We start from the raw sequence: 23,870 nt of genomic DNA, 5'->3' as shown, positions 1-23,870 counted from the left end.
GGAGACAGAGAGTGAAAGAGAGAAAAAGAGACTGAAGGGAAGAAGGCAAAGGAGGCAGAGAGGGAGGAGTGGGAAGGAAAGAGAAAGAGAGAGAAGTAGAGAGAGAGGGGCCACAAGATTAAATGGCAAAAGGCCAGATTTGTGTGGCTGATTGATATCAAAGAAGAGGAAGCAGTTAAAAATGTTCTTAAAGATAAAAGAAAATTAAGAAATAGAAAATAAAAATAAACAGGAATAGCATATTTACTAGAAGGTAACTCTCTTAGAAGACAAATAGTGATCTTAGTTCTGGATATGTTTTATTGAGGATGAAGCAAACAAATGGCAATGCTCAAAACAGCTAACGACGGAGACCAGATGTTTGGGTAATGGTCTTGATAGGAGATATGGAGCTGCAAAATAGTTATACCTGACTTTTTCCCATATTTTCCCCCAACTGCTCTTGTATAGCTTCCTTCTTTCCCTCATACACAGTTTTCTTTTGTTGCTGTTCTTGTGTGTGGGTCTTATGTGTGTGCATGTATTTCCTTGTGGTATAATGCTTCATGAACCACTACCTGGCTACCATCTATGTTTGCTCAAGGCCCTGGGTCTCTACAGTCAGCACGTAGTGAAGCCTGCCAGGCTTGTGTCCTTCCCTCAGGGCAGCAAGTTCCCCCAGTCCCTGGGTTGGTCTAGAGATGCCATCTGGGAGCCAGGGACTATAGCCAAAAACCCTGGAAATCGGCCAGGTGTGGTGGCTCACACCTGTAATCGCAGTACTTTGGGAGGCCAAGGTGGGTGGATTACCTGAGGTCAGGAGTTAGAGACCAGCCTGGCCAACATGGTGAATCCCCTTCTCTACTAAAAATACAAAAATTAGCCAGGCGTGGTGGCACAAGCCTGTAATACCAGCTACTCAGGAGGCTAAGGCAGGAGAATCACTTGAACCTAGGAGGCAGAGGTTGCAGTGAGCCGAGATCACGCCATTGCCCTCCAGCCTGGGCAACAAGAGTGAAACTCTGTCTCAAAAAACAAAAACAAACAAACAAACAAATAAACAAAAAACCTTGGAAATCTACCTGTTGTTCCATTCTACTGTGGCTTAGCAGGCACTCAAACCATGAGACGCAGGCCTTCCCACTCTTCCCCCCACTTTTCACTGGCAGAGGAGCCTCACCTCTGGCCACTATTACTACAAGTCCCCAGGGAGTACTGCTAGCAACTGCTGATGTTCATCTAAGGCCCAAGGGCTCTTCAGTCATCTTGTGGTGAATGCCACCAGGTCTGGGACTCGCCCTTCATGGTAGTGGACTCCCCTCTGACTCAGAGCATGTCCAGAAATGTCATCCAAGAGCTGAGGCCCAGAACTGGGGACCCCTCAGAACCATCCTGGTGCTCTATCCATCTGTGGCCGAGCTAGCATCGAACATACATTGAACATACAGGACAAAGTCTCCTTTACTTTTCCCTCTGTTTTTCTCAAGCAGAAGGAATCTCTCACCATAGTCACCACAACTGCAAATGTGCTAGGTTTCACCTGAAGCCAGCATGTCTTAGGATCTATCTTAGGATCTCATCCAAGTCCCATGGATTACTGCCTGGATATCACTGCTGGTTATTCAGGGCCCAAGATCTCTTAGTCAGCAGGTGATGGATCCTGCCAGGACTAGGTTTTTCCCTTCAAGGCAGTGGGTTCCCTTCTGGCTCAGGGTGTGTCTAACAATGTCATCTGGGAGCTACTTTCTGAATAGGGGCCTCACAACTCTGGTGCCCTGTCCTACTGTGGCTAAGCTGGTATCCAAGATGTAAGACAGAATCCTCTTTACTCTTCCCTCTCCTCTCCTCAAGTGGAAGGAAGGGATCTCTTTTTGGAGCCACGAGCTGTGCTGCCTGGGCTTGTGGGAAGGGTAGTGCAAGGACTCCCGTAGCCACCCCAGCTGTTGCTCACCAGCTTGTGTGCCCTCCAAGTGCATGGCTTCCAATCCCAGCTCATCACTAGGACTTGCTTAGGAGTTGCAGTCCTTGCAGCCTAGACTGCCTTTCATGTCTATTTAGGGCTCAGAGCAGTTTAGTCCGCAGTTGGGAGGCTCGCCAGAACTCGAGTTCCAACTGCTGGGATGGGCGGTTCCCCTCTGGTTAGGGCTGGTCTAAATCCTCCCTCCATGGGTAGGTGTCAGCTGAGTTCAGTTCGGTTTTGCTTTCCACTGTGACAGGGCAGCACTGAGTTCAATGCAAAGTCTCATAGTTACTGTGCTCTCCCTCTCCCAAGTACACAGATTCTTTCTCCTGCTAAGGAACAGGCGAGGGGAGGTACTGACAATGTAAGACTGTCTTTCCTACCTCCTTCAGTGCCTCTTTCAGTGATATGAAGTCCCCAGGGAGTACTGCAGGGACTGCTGATGTTCACTTAAGGCCTAAGGGCTCTCCAGTCATCTTGTGGTGAATGCACCAGGACTGAGACTCACCCTTTATGGTAGTGGGCTCCCTTCTAAAACCAGGTACTGTGAGTGCTCATCTGATTTTGGTTCTTAGAAAGGTGCTTTTTTTTGGTGTAAATGTTAAATTTGGTGTTCCTGCTTGGGGGAGGATAGGTAGAGCCTTCTGTTCAGACATCTTGCTCTGCCCCTCCTAATGTCACATATGGCATTTCTACCTGCAAAGAAACCATTTCCTATCCTTTTCTCTGAGGAGGTCTTGATTGGTTTTAGTTCTAAATTTAGTTAACTACTGCTGCAAATCTTAAAGATGTGGTCATGAATATATTTACAGAGAAATCTCTAAGTACGCTTCTCTCCACCTCCCCATGTCCGTACACATGGGGAAATGTACAAATGTACACATACTTAGATTTTGCTAACCATGCCCGTTCAACTTCATAGCCTTATAGTGCCATAAGCCTTAGCAGTGGTGGAACAAAAATCAAGAGAAAAAAACTCATCATACCTCTTATTGCCTTCCAGTGTTTCTCAAGCTACCTTTTACTCTTGTTTGAATAACTGAACTATATTGACTTCTACAGCATCAGTGGACAGGAATGGTTTTATTCCATCTTACTAGAAATCAAACATTTTTACCAGCAAATTAATTTTTATCCAGGAATAAGATTTTTAAAGCCAGGGCAATAAGCTTACCTTTCTCTTTCCTCCTACCTTTTTCCGAGGGTCCTATTCTGGGTCTTTTTAAAGCAATTTTCTTTCCTGTCTTATTCTCCAATGGTGTTAGAAACTACAGTCATTCATTCGATTAAAATGCTTAAGAACAGTGAATACAGAGAAACTCTTGTTCTGCCAGTTATCAGAGGTGGAATAACACCGGTAAATGACAATGAAAGATTCTTTTGGTTTTTGGATTTGAATGGGGTTGCCCGTTTTGCTCAGTGTGTTCTTCTGTGGGGTGTTTTTTTTTTTTTTTTTTTTTCCACTGCTTCTCAAATTTTACTGCTTATGAATCACCTGGGATCTTGTTAAAATGCAGATACTGATTCAGGAGGTCTGGGATGAGCCCTGAAAGTTTGCATTGCTAACAAGCTCCCAGGTGATACTGATGCTGCTGGTCTGAGACCACACTGCTAGCAGCAAGGTTTTAGAGAACAAATGCATTTTGGTCAGATTTGATTATACATTCAACCTCAGAATTAAGCACTTCTCCAAGTTATTAACCTATCACAGAATAATATGACCTAGTGATTTCCCATGACCAGTTTTAAATCTCATGGATTTCCCAGAGAAGAAATAGCTGTTCATGATTCCACTTTGCGTTGAAAATCAGAAACATTCCTCTGCCAGCTAATTTCCCTGAACTCATCTATCTGTACAGACTTTCTTTCTTTCCTTTTGTAAAGTTAGAGTCGCTGCTTCCTGTGGTGTGTTCCACTGTACACAAATGTGAGGGATGACTGTGTGTGAATGAAGCAGGAATCATTGTCTTGTTCTCATTTATCTTCTCTAACTGCTATGGAAGCTCAAACCAACCTTCTCCCCTTTGTTGAGCTACCATTATTTGAAAGCTGGATGAGGAATACGTTTCCAAAAGCCAATCTTTGCTAACTTTTTTCTCTCTCAGATTCCTTGAAATGGTGGTTAAAGAGAATCGGAAGTTTAAAACAGGAATTTATTTATATTATTGGAAATTAAATTATAAACAAAATTTTCACTTCTCAAATTAAATAAAATTGTATCCAGCTCCTGGTTAATTAAAGATATGGCAGCTTAGATTTTTTTTCTCCTTTTATTTTTGTGGCATCATATTGAACTTCTGTTGGTCATAAGTTTTTGCCCAAGGTATAAATTATATAATATAAACACACAAAAAAGATAATGCAAAAATATGTATCCATGTCAATACTTTTTTTTTTAAGGAACCGCGGCATTTGCAGTTTTTCAGCGAATTTGGCAATAGTGATATTTATGTGTCACTGGCAGGCAAAAAAAAACATGGAGCACCGACTAACTATGGATTCTGCTTTAAGGTACAGGCTTAATATTTTGATAGATGAATAAAGCAAGCCTCAGCCTTTTAGGTAAGCTTGAGTTTCCTTTAATTGCTTTTGAAAAGAGACAGCTTTCTCTTATATATAGGAGAATTTTAGTGGCTTTTATTTCAACAGGTGTTACCTTCAAGATATGCATTAACGATAAACAATGTGCTGTGGCCTTCTAGCCTAACAAAGCGGGAGGGCCCCGAGACCTGAAAATGCTCTGTGCAGAAGAAGAGCAGAGTAGGACGTGCTGGGTGACCGCGATTAGATTGCTTAAGGTAATCTCGCCGGAGGCATGAATTTCTATTAACTGCTGTGAGTACCATAAAAGTTAGAAAATATCTGTATTTCAGAACGTGAAGTCTCACTGGGTGGCTACATGAGAAAGAAGAAAAATAACCACCAAATGTGTATGTTTTTAAAATTCTAAATGATAAACATTTTCGGAGTAGAGTGGAATAACCTAATACATTTCTGTTTTGTGTGTGGAGTAAGTATTCCATTTCTAGAAATGTTCTGATTTTCACTTTTGTGAAGGTATTACATAGCCAGTGTAACTGAATGAAATGTCTCCTATACATGACTAAGTCTGCACTCTTAAAACGTTGCCAACAATCCAAGGTAAAGTGTATTTTAAAATGTGCCCACCCTTGAGATATTTAATGTAACTGTTTTGTGTTCGATTCGTGTTTTATAAATTGCTTTCTAGTTTAATAAGCATGACTCAAATTATTGTACAATTTTACTATGAATATATTTTTTAAACATCTACTCTCGTGCTAAGTAGAAATTACAACTTCCGTAAGCATAATTTGTTGCTGCTGAGCAATTTTGAAATGAGTAACAATATTCTAAAGGTAGACTCTCATAGGAAATAAAAGCAGAACTGATGTCTTCCAGAATGTATAGAAAGCATATTTATTTTCAAAAACTGTTTGCCAGAAAATTGAGCAAAACTTAAACTGTATACTTATCAACTATTTCCTTTTAAAGATACTGATTTGGTAGTCACAGTTAGGGAGGAAATTACAAAATTTTGTTGTTGAAAAGATACAATCCAGGGAAAGTGCCCGTCCACATTAGTTAGTATTGCTGCTGCTGAAGCCAACAAAATACATAATTTATTGTTATTATTAAATTTTTGGTTTAAAATAAGAGCATTAACATTTTCTAAGGTACTCTTTATAATTTATGCCTAGGCACTAATATAATTTGCCAATATATTGATTATGCATATTATATGTGTATTAGATATATATAATCCTTTTCTTACCACAGGAAGATTTAGATTATTAACAATGCGTGTACTAAAACTAGCTTTTCAATATAGTTAGAAATGAAAATCAGAGAAGCTGGAGCACTGTGAAGTCCTTAGGTTCCCCCATTTCATTTACCCTGAAGAAGGGGATGAAGTAAACTTTTCAATTGATTTGCAGTTTGTATATTTTCCAGGTGTACTTTTTTTCTTCTGCCTTTGCCATTTTTACCTCTTCTGCTCTCTGTTGACTTTTTCCTAGCATCCAACTTAAGAGATATCAGGGTAAAGAAGGACAGAATAGTAATAATCAGAATCATTATCATACCAGGTTTAGAAGAAAGTTTTATTTTGTATTCTTACAATTTTTAAATTGAGGTAAAATTCACAAAATATAAAATTAATCAAACTATTGTTAATGTGAATAATTCAGTGGCGTTTAGTGCATTCAGTTCCAAGACATTTTAATCACCTCAAAAGCAAACTCCATACCCATTAAGCAGCTACTCCCACACCCTAGCAATCACCAATTTGCCTCTGTCTGTGTGGATTTACCTATTGTAGGTATTTCATATAAATGGAATCATACAGTATGTGACCTTTTGTTTCTGACTTTTACTTAGCATAGTGTTTTGTGGTTCACCAACATTGAAGCATATGTTAGCTCTTTATTCCTTTTTATGGCTGTGTACTATTCCATTGTATATATAGCTCTCTATATCTATCTATATGTTGGATAAACACAGTTTATCCATTTTTTCACTGATGGACATTTAGGTTGTTTCTACCTTTGGCTATTGTGAATAGTGCTGCTATGAATATGTGTATATGTATTTGTTTGAGTACAGGTTTTCGATTTTGGGGGAATACATGTTGTAATGAAATTGCTTATTGTATGGTAATTGTACATTTAATTTTTTGAGAAATTGCCAAAATGTTTTTCCACAGTGGCTGAACCATTTTGCATTCCTACCAGTAATGCATGAGAGTTCCAATTTCTTCATATATTTGTCAATACTTGTTATTTACTTTTTTTGGTTCTTGTTCTTGTCAATTATGGTCATTCTAGTGGATGTGAAGTGGTATTGGAAGAAAGTTTTAACAAATGATTTAAATGAAGCTTTTTGTTTAACTGAAATTTACATTCTTTTGCTGTTTTGGCAGATAGCCACCATGTTTACTTCTTTATGAGAGGTTTGCTTGTTTTTCAAATATTCTGCTGTTAAAGTCACCTGAGAAGCTTTCTGAATTTACATGTGGTCCCCGCCCCATCCTTAAGGATTCTGAATAAGAACTACTAACTTTGTCCAGCCCTCCAGTTTTACAGATAAAGAGGCTGGTACTCTTTGGAAGGCTCTACTCCATCAAGAGTTATGGTAGAGAAAATTTCTTGTGGTTTTTGGTTTTCTCTGTTTTTCAAAACTGGAAATCAGGCTAGGCTGCAAAGAGGATGTTCTTCAACCTTGTTAACCCATCTTCCTCCCTTCTAACTTGGGCTTAAAGTTTGACACCCAAAACAGAAGCAGGTGGTAAGCCCACTTCCTTTAATCAGCATTTCACTTAATCTAAGAAGCCATTGGTTTTTACCAGGAGACATCACTATTTTTATTAGCATTAAAAGGAAAAAAAATGATGCCAATAAAATGATGATATGATGCTTTCATATCACTTACAATTTTTGTTTTATTTATTCAGATAGTTTTGTTAGGTTTATTTGAACCTAGATTTTTGTAATTTAATCACTTTTGTTTGTATACACTCAGATGTATATACATATGGACATAAATGTATTTTACACATACACATATATATGCATTAAGTATATACACACATAAATATAAAATAAAATATATAAGTAGAATACATTAATTGAGGTATCTTTAAAACTTCTTCTTATTCTAAGCCTGGCTTTTCTGAATCATTTTCATCTCAGAGTCACAGATACCTGTATTTTCCACAGGATATGGCATGGGGCTGTGTTCCACTGATATTGCGTGTGCAAGGTTTGATGCTGGTGATTTCTTGATCCCACCAAAGGTTTCGGGCAATGACAAATCACTGGGTCCATAGTGAATGTAAGATGTTATAGATTATAGGATGCAGTTGAATTTATAGATGTTAAATTTCGAAATGCACATCTAAAAATGGGTGAAATACACTAAAAGCTTTCTTTAATTCTTCCATTTCAATGAGGCTTATTTTCTGGAATAATGTTCCCTTCTCACTATTTTTTCTCATCTTACTGTTCTTAAGGCATCTTTCAATCAGATTCCCAGTTCAAAGATGCGTCATTGTGTTGGTTTTCTATGACTGCTGTAACAAATTACCACCAGGGTAGTGACTTAAAGCAACATAAATTTATTGTTCTTTAGTTCAGAAGCCTGAAATGAGTCTTACTGGATTAAGTCAAGGTGTTGGCAGAGCTGCATTTCTTACTGAAGGCTCTAGAGGAGAATCCAGTTACCTTGCCTTTTGGCAGCCTTTAAAATCCACCCAGACGTCTTGTCTGGGGGCCCTTTCAACATCTTCAAAGCCAACACTGTCACAGCAAGTATTTCTCACACTGCCATCTCCCTGGTACTGCCTCTTCTGCCTCTCCCTTCCACTTATTAAGGCCCCTTGTGATTACAGTGGGCCCACATGGATAATCCAGGACCATCACCCCACCTTACAATCAGCTGATTGACAACCTTAATTCCCTTTTTCCATGTAGCTTAACATAGGCTCTGGAGATGAGGATGTGGACATCTTTGGGGGACCATTATTCTACCTACCACATCCATGTTTCCTGTTCATTTCAATAATGGCGAAGCTTTTCCAGATGAGGCTGAAGAGGGAAGGAGGCATCTGTGAGGCCCTTTATCTGGAACCTGTGAGAACCCAAACAGGAAAGAGACATGATATGATCTCTTTTACACTGTAAAATACCCAGATCACAGGAAGCCAGGGCTTGCTCCAGGTCTCACAACACAGACACGCTTGTGGCATTCTAATGGTGGAGTGAGTTGGCTTCCCTGGCAACTTCTTGTCAGCAGGGCTCCTCCTGTTGGATCCCCCTGGCTGGTGCAGCTGGGATCACCTGATGGTAGAAGTGTCTTTAACACCTACTTTGTTTTCTTTTGTTGTCTACTGTGTTATTTCCAGCGTTTACCATTGTACTTAGCGGGAATGAACAAGGAGATATTATCTTGGCTAAACCGAGAGTGCCCTCTTTTTTCATCACACACCACTTGTTAGAAACAGCCTCCCACCAAGAATTTGGCCACTTGTTTTATTCTTACGTCCTTTTCTTTTATATATATGTAAAGTCTTCATATGGATCAGATGGAGACTCTCTTTTTCTCTTTGGATAAATTCTAATTACATATAGAATTATAGAATATCTGAGACTTAGAAAATGGGAGATTTTCTCACATGTAATGTCCTAGTTACATGTTGTCTCTTTTCCTTCCCTTCAATTAGAACTCTGCAAGGTCCTCTCTAACATATTTTGGTCCCTTATCTGCCCCTCCATAGGATGGGGAAATGTTAAGGTGACCCCCGCCCTACCTCTTGTCCAGAGTTAAATGCCTACTAAAGACCTTCAGAAGCACAGAGGCAACTACCTAACACTGCAGGTACCAGGGACAATATATCTTTGAAGAAAACAGACTTATTAGTAGGCAGCTGGCTTTTCAATGCAGATTAATAAAAGGTGGCCAAACAGCATGTTTCTTGTGAAAGTGTTGGTTTGAGGTTATTATATATTCTCCAAAATGAATTTGACTAGGAATTAAGCTCCTTTGCCTTCTTTTTAAAGCTATTGTAGGCTTAGAGTTGATTTGAAATAAATTTCATTAGGTCCCATTAATGTCAATCAAACCTTAAATTAAAAAATAATTTTTAGAAGTTGGGAAATAATTGGATAAGAAGTCAACACAGAGAATTTTAAATGAATGTGGGTTTGCATTCATGTTAAAAGCAAAATCTTGAAAACAGTGACTCCTTTAGACCTCCTCTGATTTTTTTTTTTTTTTTTTTTTTTTTTTTTTTTTTGCCTAATTACCAAATATACCCATTGTGCTAGAATTGCTTTTAAGGGAATGACTATTTTTCTTTAGTAGAAAAACAGCTCTGCTGGAATGTTTAAATAGAATTTATCCTTCAGGTAAGATTTGATTCCATGGTGTCTATTTAATCTCTTTTATATAAAACCTAACTTTTAAGTTCATTATGGCTCTATGAAATGGACAGAATTGCAGAATCTAGGGGAAAAAAGGCTGTTTATTCCATTGTTTTATTTTTCTTTTCTTTTTTTTTTTTTTTTTTAACAAAGTAGCTTAAACCTAAAGGAGGTTAGCTTCCAAATTCAGATGTGGAAACCTCCAGGACAAGTTTGGTTTTGGCAGTTGGCATTCTTACTGTTTTTCAAACTAATAATCCAGTTATAATCCAGACCGGTTTTCCAATTCTGTCCTGCCAGCTCAATCCATATGATGCTGCCTCCTGAAAGTGAAGACACTGAAATTCTTATCTTCTACCACTTATATTGTACCTTGAAAGCTTTCATTTGAAATCAGCTTGATTCCTCACTATTTTGGTTTCCAGGAATTTGAAGTAAAAAATTAATAATGGCATTAATAGTTTTGATATAAGGATGCTATATTGTCAATAATTTTCAACATAGGCCCATGTTTATGGATTTACCAGAGGGAAAGTAAATCATTAGTCATTCATCAGAGAGGTACAATAAATTTTGCACAGTGTTGCTTAGGATGTGTGTGAAGTTTTTGGAATCTTTGTACCAGAAAGCACATCGCCCTTCCCAAGTGAGTTTTTTTTTTTTTATCATGAGGCAGTGTACTACTCCAGATAGTTGTGGTACAATTTGGTGCTAAGAATAATGAGTAGATATGTCAGCTCCTGAAGTCTGTACTGGTGAGCTGGACCTTAAGTTGTAGGTCTAAGTAAAAGACTTCAATTGTCTTTTTAAATGTATTGTTGCAGGGCACTAAAAGTTCATCTTTCAAAATTTTGGTTGCTTTACTTGTTTGCTTTAATTGTTTTTATATTTATATTGTATAATTGATGAAAGTGTTGATTTTCATAGATTATCAGAGTAGTAAAAGTGGTGGGAATGTGTTTTATTTATTTATTCTGCAGTATGGCATGCAGCTGTACCAGAATTATATGCATCCATATCAAGGTAGAAGTGGCTGCAGTTCACAGAGCATATCACCTATGGTAAGGACCAAATTTTTGAGCCTGTGTTTTATTTTACATTCACATTATATTAATTTAAATTACACTACATAACAGTATCTTATAATAATTTATGTTATTTTCTGTTGGTAAAGTAACTCTTTGGCACCATTCTAGTATAATGTTACATTGAATTTTTTATTTTTGGATTTTATTTGCTTGCAATCTATGTGATAAAATCATATCATTATACATAAAGTATTTAATAAAATATATAATAGTATATGTTAAAGTTTTAAATATTTGAAACAATTATGTGTCTTTCTGTGTCATTACAACATTTGAAGATTAGATCTTAAAAATATAATTTATAGAACATATTCCTTGGCATTGTAGATTGTGTTTTGTTAATTATTGGTTTTGATTGTGGTTTCATATTTTATTTTAATACCGATTCTGGGATTGTCACAATCTAGTATAAAGATGCCAGTGATTTGAATTTTAAAAGCTACAGTATACACATGTGAGCTCTTTTGCATTCTGGCTAACAATAATTTTTTTAAGTTCCAGGTCCTTTAAAAGCAGACTGCTTTCCAGGAAACCCAAAAACTGCAAGCCAAAATATAGGTCGTGTGTTACATTAACTCTAGCACTGCTTTTCAGACTTATACTAAATGTAACTTGGATATTTATTTGCAGACACACACAGACACATCTTTTTCCTTCTTTAGGATCTAATTTTAATTTTGTGTGCATTAACATAAGAAATGTATTTCTGAACTTAAGATTTATGTTCTGCTATTTTTGCTGCACTCCTTAAGATAGGGTATATTAGGAATTCAGATGTATGCACATGTGTTACAAATCAGTTAATGTGCATTTTTTTAATCTACATTTTCACTTAGGTTAAAAATATGCTCTTCATGTATGTGACCAGGGAAGGTGCATTTATCCCACATGTAATGTAGTAGATGAAATGCTCAGTTCTAGGAATGAAGCATGAAATAATGTTGATTATGAAACCTGATAGACTATATAGAAAAAGAACTCCAATTTTGTAGTTACGTCACTTTAACTTATGGAAGAATAACTTTCCATCTTTGTATGGTATTACTTTTAAGCCCTAAAATAAGAAACTAAGGGGCACAGTGAATTTTTATAAAAGCAATCATGTTAAGATGAATGTTTTTACATTTTTTCAGCTTACTCTTATCTTTCAATTCATATGTATATAAAAATAATAATGAATTTTATTATATTAATCCTTTCCTAAACTCCTCCAAATTTCTTTTAGAGTCCAAAATTATTAGGATGAACATGTTAATAGCAGCCAAATATTTGGAGGCAATTATTTAATGTCCTCTTAATCATAGGAAAAATGGTTATAAATGAAGTTCTTCCTATTCTCATCACTGTCAGCATACATGTATGGTATTACCCTTGTCTTTTTCCATTGAAGGTGATGCTGCTATTGATCTAGATGTGGATAACAGTTTAGTGTAGCTTTCCTTGTTCAGTGCCAGGTAAAGGAAGAGATACTCCTTGAGTGAGTTTGGTTGGGAATAGCAGTTGGAGGATGCAGGTGCCTGTGTGGTAAAGAACCATCCTGTCTAGCACTTGTCCTAATCAGATACAGTAGTATGTGAGAATTACATCTTTAATATTATTAATTTACATGAAGGAAACTTAGAATCTGTTTTGGGAAGTAGTTGTGTTGACTTTGGTGTCTCTATAAAATCTCACTTTTCCAGATTATTTGGGAAGAATCAGGGGCCTAAAAGATGCCAGTACTCTTTACCAGCCTTTGTTGCTTTTCATCCGGGGACTATTTTCAGCGATTAACATATAAGTTTTTAGTATATATTGTAGTATAAAACTTTAGTTATATTTTTAAAGGAACAATATTATTTTCTTTCTTTTCCTAACTTTTCCAGGTATACATTTTGAGAAAGGAAATGAGAAAAAAAATTCTCAAACCATAATGAACATCTTAGCTATATAAAGGATGTAACAGCCACCCCATCAGCCTTTGAAGTGAGAATCAATCAGCAGCAGACATTTCAGGAAGCCAAATATATTTGGTCCTTTTTAGGGAAAACAAAGGATTCATTTAAAGGAGCATTTATCAATATTGCCCTGGCTGGAGTGAGGGGACGGAGGGTTGGGGAAGGCGAGTCTACTCAAGCTCTTTTTATGCTTCACTTTTGACCTGAGGATAGACATTCTAAACTGCAATTCCTCCACTGTATTTCCCACTCTATGGAACATAAAAGAACCCTACAACAGACATATCTGTTACTGCTTTTACCATAAGCTGCCTGTGTGACTTTGGTCAAGTCACTGGTATCCTGCAGTGTAAAATGAGGGTGATGGTTGTATAATCTAGAAACCATTACATTTCTGATGTCTGTAGCTTTGTATAAAGCAAATGAGAGAAAAATATCTGAAGAAATTGTGTGCCCTTTTGCTAATGATGGCACTGTAAGTTTATCTAAATCCTTCAAATGGGATGATACTGGTTGTCACCTAGCCAAACTTCCTGAAAAACCATTTTATGTGCAGCCTCACTAAGAATTAGTAGATGTGATCTCAAAGTATGGGCTGGATAATCCAGGGTATACCCAGACCTATTTTTTTTCTTAAAAAGAAAGAAAGTCATGCCATTAAAATCATGGACCCCTTTTTTAGGGCCTTCTCTGTTCATCTCCTAAGAAGGAAGAGCTAGAAAAGGGGAGAAGTGTTGGAGAAATATAACCAATTCTGAATGTTATCAACATTGCTTTTCTATGTGAAAGAAATTGATCTGAAAATGACCTTTTGAGTTTGTCAGACTCTGCTTTACTTCCATTTTTTTGTCCACCAATGGTAAACTATTAATTTTCTATCTACCACCTGCCATTCAGTAGAAGACATTTGCTATAGTCCTGTGTTTTCCGTTAATCTAGTTAATGTAGCAAATGAAAACGTTCCTTATTTGTAGTGTCGTCTTCTTATGTATGTCAAGTAAATAGGGAACACAGGATCTTGTTTTATTTCCTGGCCTGCTATACTAGAGGGAGAAAAATAGGACAGCTGATTATTTTTTTCTTAATATAATGGTATTTTTATGTTGCCAGGGAGTTGAGATTACAGAACCTACCTTGGCATGTAAACGGAGAGATATTATAAGGATAAAGCTATTATGATTGAGGAAGCTTACTCTGTGGTTTGGGCAGGTGGATGCTTTTCATTAATGTCAGCAAAGCACAAGTATATCTGACTGGTCTACAGACCTGCACAGAAGATCACGGGGTGAGAAGGGCAAACTAAGGTGTGACAGCAAATAGAGATTACAGAGACAGCATCTGTGTGGAAAGAGCAGCTGTCAGTTATAAAGGCTCCTGTAACAAATGAAAGATTGCATGCCAGATCTTTAGAAATATAGATGAACCATAATAAGATTGTAGGCCACTACAGCATAGTTTGAAGAGAAAATTACAAATGCTAATAAAGTGGGATATGTTGAAGCAGTGATAAAGGAGTCCTATAGTTATCTGTGGATAAGGTTTTGTTTGAAGCCTACATTTGACTATAGTCTATGCAACCAAGCCAGGTATAGCTGAATCTACATAAAGAGAGATAAAATGCTTTTAAGCCAGGGGGCCCCAGATGCAGGCTGGCTAGTAGTTTACTATTATAACACCACTTTGGGTTTTGCTCTTCTATTAATTAGTAGAAAATAACTGTTATTTTCCATGGGTGTTTTAAAATTTTTCTTTTGGAGAATTTTAATTCCTTCTTGATGTTGTATGAACTTATGAACTGAGTGGGATTCTTGACTAGAGATTTTGACAATGGTCTTTCTTAGGATTCATGACTTGTTGTGGGGTGGCATATTTGTTAAAAGATGGTTGTAAAGTAGAGCCCCAAACAAACAAAAAAGAAAAAGAAGATCGGGTTTTGCATATTTTACTTTCAACTCAAAGAATATAAATACAAGAAGTAGTTAGCAAAAACAATGACTTTATCATTTGTTTAAACTAAGTTTCTTTAAAGTTGCCTTCTATCAGTTCTTATTCAGGCTTATTTTTGCAGCCCTCATGTGGCCAAGTGTATTCTCACAAGATGAAAATGTATTCATATGTTAAATCATGGAAATTTTAAGGTTATGGAATTATCAGGATTATTCTTTCACTAAATTTTATTTTCTAAGTAAGATGAAAGTTGATGTGATAAACTTTTAAAATACATATTCTAGTTTGCTCCATTATAAAACTCATTAAAAATAATGAGTATTATTTCTCAAGAGATATATGTCAATCTAAGTTATAACTTTTGGGTATCTTGAATCTTAAAAACTAGTTGCTTCATAAGTAGATGGATTTGACATTTAATTGATGACTGACGGATCTCAAAGCTTAATGGAGACATCAATTCAGAAACAATGTATCTTTTTAACCAGAGGAAGAGCTATTCCTTTCTAAATGGAAGTTTTCCCATTTTACTAGAGAACGTGAAAAGATAAGTTTGTTTTAGAAGAAAGACATACTTTAAAAGCTTTTAATCTGTTTATTCAACTCTTCAATTACCTTAACAAATTACTATTTAGCTTTTTTAACAAAAATATTTTTAGCACCTTTATATCTTGAATATGTATTTTCACTTTAAATATTCTGCTAGCCCCTTCAGGCACCACCTTCTAGAATGGAAATGTACTGCCAGAAAAACACTGAGAGAAAAACACTGAAATTGAAAAACACTTTCAATTTATTTGAAAGATAACTTTCAAAGAAATTTTCATAACTCAAATGTGTTTCTTTTTTCCAGAGAAGTATATCAGAGAATTCCCTGGTAGCAATGGACTTCTCAGGCCAGAAAAGCAGAGTTATAGAAAATCCCACTGAAGCCCTTTCAGTTGCGGTTGAAGAAGGACTCGCTTGGAGGGTACAAGTAGCTTCACATGCTTCAAAATATTTATGATTTCAGTTTGTTTCACCTAAAAACTTGAGATTTGTTTTCTCCTTCCTTGCTCAGAAAAAAGGATGTTTACGCCTGGGCACTCACGGTAGCCCCACTGCCTCTTCACAGAGCTCTGCCACAAACATGGGTATGTCTGTTCATAGTCATTGCCACTGAGTAGACGGATAGACATGGAAAGGACATGTAATGAAATTGCAGTCATCTCAAACAAAGCTTTGCATTCATCCATCCTATTTCTTTAGCTATCCACCGGTCCCAGCCATGGTTTCACCACAAAATTTCTAGAGATGAGGCTCAGCGATTGATTATTCAGCAAGGACTTGTGGATGGGTAAGTTTGGTATTTTTAATTTTGAGTACTTGTGAATTGGATTTCTCCTATAAGCAGAAATTATTTATTCCATAGCCACAAAGAGTTCTTGATTTGGGCTTATCATAAAACAGAAGTGACATTGTTCTATAAATGAGGTCATCACTGTATTCTAACAGTATCTATATTATACCTGGTACATAGTGTGTGTCTGGTATTTGTATATAAATGGACAAATAACGGAATAGAGTATCTTGTTCTTAACCAGTGATCACTAATATTACCCATTATGTCCTGATTCTAGCATCTCAGATATCAATTGATGGGGGAAAATGAACTTCTTTTTAAGTGTCAATATTTTGATTTGAACATATGATTTCGAAGTATGGTTTATATTATGACATTATGTCAAATGTATTTTTTTAGGTATGATGCAACATGTATTAAGTAAAAAGCTGTTTCTTAAGTGTTTTGAACACTTATTTTTTTGTGTGTTTACATCCCTATTGTCCTTTCTCTAAATTTTAACATCTTAAAGTAATATAGATCCGTGAAAAGAGTACCTTTCAACTGTTTCTCATGTTGTCTTTTAGTGGGGTACCATGGAATACAAAAGAGAAATATAAAATGTATTATGAAAGATTTATAATGTGAAGAATTTTATTTTTCTCAAATTACTCAGTGTTTCAGATACTTTCTATAATACTGGCTGAATTCCCTTTCCAAATGCAGTACAAATGAGGGAGGTTGTATTGTGGTTTAGATGAGTAATGAAATCATTATCAATTTAAACAAGTGGTGATGGGATCTTTTATCTTCAAAAGTTGGCTAATCATGTCATTATCATGACAAGATTTCAAGGTGATTTAATACTGAAATTTGGATAACAATGCTTCTTCACATGGAAGATTATTAATAGGAAGTCAGCATTTCCCCAGACTGTAAATAAGATATTTTAATACGTTTCTTTGCATGGAATGCAGTCTTTTTGGAAATAAATTTGAACAATCAGTAGAATTACAATCTGATGAAACCAAGAAAATAAATGAGTCACAAAGAATTATTAAAATGTTTTGAAAGATTGTAATTTTCTTTATTTCTGAGCCCAGTATTTATAAAGTGAATGAAATGATCGTATAAAAAAAGATACTATCTTATTTTTAGTATTTTTGGTATTCTTTTGGAGAGATGTGATGGTGCCAAGTGATCCACTAGGTGGTAGTGGTGATCTACTTGGGAATGGGAAAAGAATTACAGCTTGATTTACCAGTGAAACGCCCTTTTGTCCCATTTCCCAGTGATGTAATGTCGGAATCTCACACAGCACAAATGAAATGGATAAACTCGTCAGACATCTGTGATGCTTTAAATTTGGCTGCCTCTTTGCCCAGGCACAGTGAGATTCATATTGGATTCACCAGTGGGGATCATTTACACGGTGTATTTACCAGCAGTTAATACAAAACTGGTTTTGCATTGCACTGCCAGTGAATAAGAATCCACTTCTGGCAGCATTTTTCTCTTAGGCTGTTAGAGGCCATGTCTTGTTTTTCTAGCCTGACATTATAGAGGCTTTTCTGCTGCATTCTTCAAGGTTAAAGTATGTGTTTTTTGGATGATTTTTTTTACTTAAAGCATTTTGCTTAAATATTTAATAAATAATTTCAAGATTTTTTTAAAACAATATATTGATTTCTTTCTTGCTATTGTGTATGAACAGTTGAAACCAGAATCAAAAGAAAGGGTATCCAGTATAGAAGAGGGGGTTATAATAAAATAAAATTTCAGGCCAGGCGTGGTGGCTCATGCCTGTAATCTCAGCACTATGGGAGGCCGAGGCAGGCGGATCACTTGAGGTCTGGAGTTCGAAACCAGCCCAGCCAATATGGTGAAACCCTGTCTCTGCTAAAAATGCAAAAATTAGCTGGGCTTGGTGGCATGTGCCTGTAGTCCCAATTACCTGGGAGGCTGAGGTGGGAGAATTGCTTGAACCCTGGAGGCGGAGATTGCAGTGAGCCGAGAGCACTCCAGCCTGGGTGACAGAGCGAGACCCTGTTTCAAAAGAAAAAAAAAAATTCATTCTAAATTCTTACCTTCTTTCAAAACTTAACATGACCCAGAAGGTAAAATAACAGTATGAAAATGCCTTAATCTTTAGGCAAAACAGTTACATGTGAATACCCAGTTTCCCAGTGCAAAGAGAACGTAGCACCAATTGTTGATGCAGACATAACAGTGTATTGTTTATTGTGATCAAACAAACAATCTGACTAATGGGTTGTGTATTTAGCCTATTAAAATTACAGTAGCAGTGATGACAGCTTTATAGTGCAGATTATATTATACCATATTGATTGCCAAGTTGGATAATCCCACCCATTGAATACATAGTAAAGGAGTCCCCAGCTACATTTATGCATACACTTCTTGGATTTATTAATGCTATAGTTCTATGAAATCCATGAGTAAATATAGAAACATTGAAATTCCTTCTCTCTCTTTAGAGTTTTCTTGGTACGGGATAGTCAGAGTAACCCCAAAACTTTCGTACTGTCAATGAGTCATGGACAAAAAATAAAGCACTTTCAAATTATACCAGTAAGTAATTCGTGATTTCACATTTGTGTATTAGAAATGACCTTAATGCATAAGCTTTTGATCTTAATGCATAAGCTTTTGGAAACTTTGGTTTTCTTTTGGTCTTTTTATTAAATATAATTTGGCAGCTTGTGCTTTGACTAGAGTTAACTTTGGCAGAAATGATTTTATGAGCCTGAATTAATATAAGAAATACAGGAATTGTAAAAATTAAATTTTCCTTTTTCTATGAAATATGATTTAGCAATATTGTATAGACCCCATGCCACCTATTGTTAAAAGGGCACTAAAGCTTCTTTCTCCTGAATTCCACTAACGGCTCTTTAGAAAACATTACTTTAAAGCCTTTTCTCCTCTCTTCTCTCAAAAATGTTTTTTTTGTTTTGTTTTGTTTTTAATGGCTATGGCTAGAAACAGAGATTCTATGGAACTGGTGAAGACTTCTGAACACATTTTTAAAAGTTCTGTGATTCGGCTTCTCTGTGACACACAACTTGCTTTGGGATTTCTGTTGCCTCTTCTGCTGTGTGTCTGTGTGGGTGTGCATGTATGTATGTGATGTGTATAGTATATTGGAACTGAATGGTGGGGAGTGAAGATTCAGTCTTTTTGGAAAGGTATTCCATAGTATTGCTAAATTACTAGTGCGTCCTTTTGAATTGCCTCTTTTTGGAGTTATCCAAAGGCTATATAAAATATCCTCCCTACTTCTTTTATTTTGTGATCAATGTCCCCAGCAAATACGAATTGTTTAGTACCAGAAGACTTCACTGATTTAAAAAAAAGAAAACTGACAGAATGACATTCCATTAGCATAATATGTGATTACTTCAGAATAAATCTCATAAAATTATGTAAATATTCATTTTTGTGGCTAAGTAGACAACATTTAGAAAAGGAAATTAATTTCTCAAGTGGGAGCATTAAAATCTTCATTTACTTTTACTCTGAATATTGTAGATTTCTTTCATTGATTCAAAATATTCATACTGTCTTTACTAACAGAATGCTGGGAGAATTAGAACTAGATGAAGTAGAGTAGCAGTGCTTCTCAGGGATCAGCTGATATTTCTTTTAAATGCAAGTGATGTTAAAAAAAACAAGTAGATATGCCGTAACATTCTTTTCACTGTCTTTTAGTTTTATAAACTTGGCAGTTTTGGCATGTGGAGATAGTTTGCAATCGAATATGATTGTCCTTCTGTGTAATTTATCCTCTTTACTTATTTGTTGCTTTTCTTTTTGCAGGTAGAAGATGACGGTGAAATGTTCCACACACTGGATGATGGCCACACAAGATTTACAGATCTAATACAGCTGGTGGAGTTCTATCAACTCAATAAGGGCGTTCTTCCTTGCAAGTTGAAACATTATTGTGCTAGGATTGCTCTCTAGACAAGCCAGAAGTGACTTATTAAACTATTGAAGGAAAAGGACTCAAGAAAAATAATAAAAGACCATAAATAAGGGCGAAAACATTACCATGTGAAAAGAATGTATTTCACCTGCAAGTTACAAAAAAATAGTTTGTGCATTGCAAATAAGCAAAGACTTGGATTGACTTTACATTCATCATTTAAAATTCATTAGTTAAAATTAAACCTTAGGAAAAAAATGACTTGGTGTGTTCTTGTGTGATTTTTACATTGCTATAATATTTTCTTCAAATATGCATATTTAAAACATGTCTCCCTTATTTACCATATAGCAACATCAGAATTCTGAAACACAAAATATGAAATAAATTGGGAGTCAGGAATAATTATTTGTGCACTAAATTTCAATTATACTATTTTTTAATGTTAAGAAATATGATAATAACTTATCAATTAAAAGAAACTATCCACAACCTGTTAATGAAACTAAAAACTATTTTGAATTATATATTTTCCGGGTTTATGATCATCTTAAAATGAAATCATATTTTGAGATAGTAGCTTTAAACCATTTTGAAATATGTTGATTTTTTCCAGGTAATTTAAAAATATTATTAAATAGTTAATTATAAAATTTATACTGGTATTGTACCCATTAGTGGCATGTTTTTCATTGTATTTTCTTCCATTCATTTAATGATTGGCTAATACTACTTGTTTTTAAAGAAGTAATTGAAATGTAGAAGAGATATATGTAATTTGCATACACCTTCTCATGGTATATAATCTATGACAATGTGACATTGTTACTTTAACATTTCACACTTGCTCCATTCTCTAACTTTCAGAACACTCTTTAGCTCTTTTCACTAATAGATCATTAACCAAATCAATATAGGTGAAATCAAAGATTCACAATCTATAAGGATACTAATAGTGAAATCCTTGTTTTTTTCTCTTTGCCTTCCCCCTTTTCAGTTTCTTACCAGGCAATATCAAGAAGGAAGCCAAAGATTTTGAAACTTGAAATACTAACCTTCCTTATCACTTCTTCGAGACCATCTGGGAATAGTTTTTAGATTCTGTGATTCTTTTGTTCCCATTTTTTTGTAGGAAGGATTTTACTTGTTCCTAAAAAATGAGGAACAAAACATCAAATAAACATTACAATTATACTAACTATTGGCCATCTCCTCTAACTGACCTTTATGACAACATTGCGAGAAAGATTTTTAAAGCAATATTCATAAATGCATACTTTAGTTTTAAATGAAAGCTGTATATTTTTTGGTGACAAAGTATATGAAAGCATTCATGAAATGCTAATAAAATAATAACTGAAAAAGAATTATTTATTGAATTTTTAAAGATTTAACTTACTTTTAGCTAATGCAAGCCTAATTGCTAAAACACTGAAACTTAGAACATTAATCTGATGTTATAAAATACTGGTCTGGTTTCCGCAAAGGCTTGGAAGGCACACAGGACTTCTAAGTAGAACAGCATGAGTAAACACACTTGCCTTTTTCAACCTCTCAGAATGGCCCTGAGTATTTCTGATTTAATTTTGATTTTTAAAAAGACTTTGTGTTTTGAATTTGAATACATTTTCTCAGGTTGTACCCAGTTTAAACAGACAATATCAGAAAATGTACTATCTTGAATACCAAACTCTTACAAATTGGCCAATTTGTGCTTATCTTTGTTTGTGTCTCTAACTTCATAATCTAAGTGTATTATTGAGGGGCTCAGATTTTGTATGTAATTGCTTAATTTGATCTTAAAGTATGAGTGAAGAAACATTATTGAGGAAAGGTTGACAAAGGGAAATCATTATTTTCTTGTTTCCTTCTGAAAATGGGTCTTGGGTGTGTGTGTATGTGTGTGTGTGTGTGTGTGTCTGTGTGTAAATCTAATATGACATGAAATCTGAGAATTTCAGACACATTCACGGTTACTACAGTATTAAAGTGCATTCCCTAGTAAAATGTGAATTACCTTTGGATTACTTTCCATTTTGATTTAGCCATGTTCTGTTATCTTGCACCATTTGGGATAGGGATGAAGACAAATGGTCTCTGTTTTCTTCCATTTCTGTTCATGTTGGAGGTAATATGCTTCACTCTCCCAGAAAGAAGCTAGCACAGTAGACTCTCTAGTAAATATTGTTTTTACAGGATAAAAACTATTAGTAGTGCTTCAATTCAGAACAATTACTTGTTTCATGTGGATAACAGTATAAGCCCTGACTGATTTGAGGAGATTAGATGGATGTTTTTGTTTTAGCTGTTTTACAGTGGGTGACATCAGTTAATCAGAGCCTCATATGGTCTCTGGTTTTTGAACACCGATCATGACAACTCTACACATGGTAGTTGTATTCTGGTGGTGATGTCGGATTATTTCCTGGATCATAACTTCTCTGAAGAGGAAATGTTTGTCGTGGGTAATGGTTACAGCTTGGTGTTTCAACCTGGCTCCACCATCTAAAATGCTCTCTATATTGCCAGCCACTTTTAAGCTTGATGGTGTCTTGGATCCATTCAGCAGCCAGGTGAAGCCTATGGACCTCCTTCTCAGAAGGTAGAAATGCTGCCATATTGTGACCTGCTGTGTCCCTGGCTGTGTTGATTTTGCCCATATAAGACCTCCAGTTTTCCATCTTGAGTTCTTTAGAGAACAGAGTGGGTGATTCCTGGTGTTACAATACCTGTGGGGCACAAAGTAGTTTGCTTGAGATTCAGGGTACTTGTTTCAAGGACCTTGTTGTTACAAGATTATTGTAGCATTGAAAATTCACTCAACGAAACCTCCATGCCTATATCTTGTGGGATGCATCACTGCAGCCCAGTCCTGGCTCCCACGCTTGACTGTCTGTGACATTCACAGGAATGTGTGGTGATATGAGCCGCAGTGCTCATAACTGGGGCACTGCTTGTAACGTTGCTAATCTCATACTCCTCAGGTCACGACACATTATTTGCGTAGACATCTTGGCTGAGCACATAACGATATTCAGCTAAGAGCTCATTGCAGAGATCTGCCCAGCTGAATTTAACCGGCATAAGTACTTGCCTGCGATTGGGATATCATGTGATTAGTTCTTTGCCATGTTAATATACTTTGTAAGTGTGAATAATTCAACATCACACAATACACAAAACTTTAGAAACTAGAGTTAAGATTATAGCTCTGGTATTATACCTTGTAGATTCAAATTCCAAGTCATTATATAGCAGCTATGTAGCCTTGGTCAAACCAATTTCTTCATCTCTAGACGGGATCACTACCACCACCATCATAACCACCACTTATTAAGTTGTCTTGCCAGTCAAATCATTGGCTTAGATCTTCATTGGTATATACGTCTATTACATTAGCGATCATACATTTAGGTCCTCTACCTCCCAGGGACATTGCTCTTTCCACTGAGTGCCATTGCATTGCTACCTCTTCTTCCTGCCAGGAACAATATATTGTACATTACATATTTGCCTCTGCCCTTATTTCAATTCTTTCTATAAGGATGCTTTTATGGAAGTAACCATGTGTTCCACAATAGGGTGCTGCCCAGTCCATCAGTAGGGACTGTGTGGAAAACCATATTGTGCCCGTCTGTACAAGATCATACAGATCACCATGCTGATTAAAAAGATTAAGTGTTATTTGTGATTTTAAACCTGCTGATTAAAAAGATTAAGTGTGATTTGTGATTCTCACATTCATCCTGTCC

At 36.1% G+C, this 23,870-nt stretch overlaps 1 protein-coding gene across 6 annotated transcripts in view; it reads left to right on the top strand.

Annotated features, from left to right (window-relative positions):
* GRB14 (growth factor receptor bound protein 14) overlaps positions 1-20,775 on the top strand; it is a 129,066-nt gene extending 108,291 nt beyond the window's left edge. For 3 of the 6 annotated variants that reach the window (NM_004490.3, NM_001303422.2, XM_047444013.1), the window contains 8 exons: positions 4,340-4,450; positions 4,642-4,737; positions 10,857-10,937; positions 15,702-15,818; positions 15,909-15,981; positions 16,097-16,184; positions 18,668-18,761; positions 20,010-20,775. In NM_004490.3, coding sequence (NP_004481.2) covers positions 4,340-4,450; positions 4,642-4,737; positions 10,857-10,937; positions 15,702-15,818; positions 15,909-15,981; positions 16,097-16,184; positions 18,668-18,761; positions 20,010-20,156 — 807 coding nt within the window. In that variant the 3' untranslated portion in view covers positions 20,157-20,775. Of the gene's footprint in view, positions 1-4,339; positions 4,502-4,588; positions 6,469-10,856; positions 10,938-15,701; positions 15,819-15,908; positions 15,982-16,096; positions 16,185-18,667; positions 18,762-20,009 lie in introns of those variants that run through there. The other 3 variants (XR_427085.4, XM_047444014.1, XM_011511022.2) reach the window with 3 other exon arrangements.

This window comes from Homo sapiens, chromosome 2 (assembly GCF_000001405.40).
Source record: "Homo sapiens chromosome 2, GRCh38.p14 Primary Assembly".
NCBI lineage: Eukaryota > Metazoa > Chordata > Mammalia > Primates > Hominidae > Homo > Homo sapiens.
This window is presented reverse-complemented; position numbering and strand designations above follow the sequence as displayed.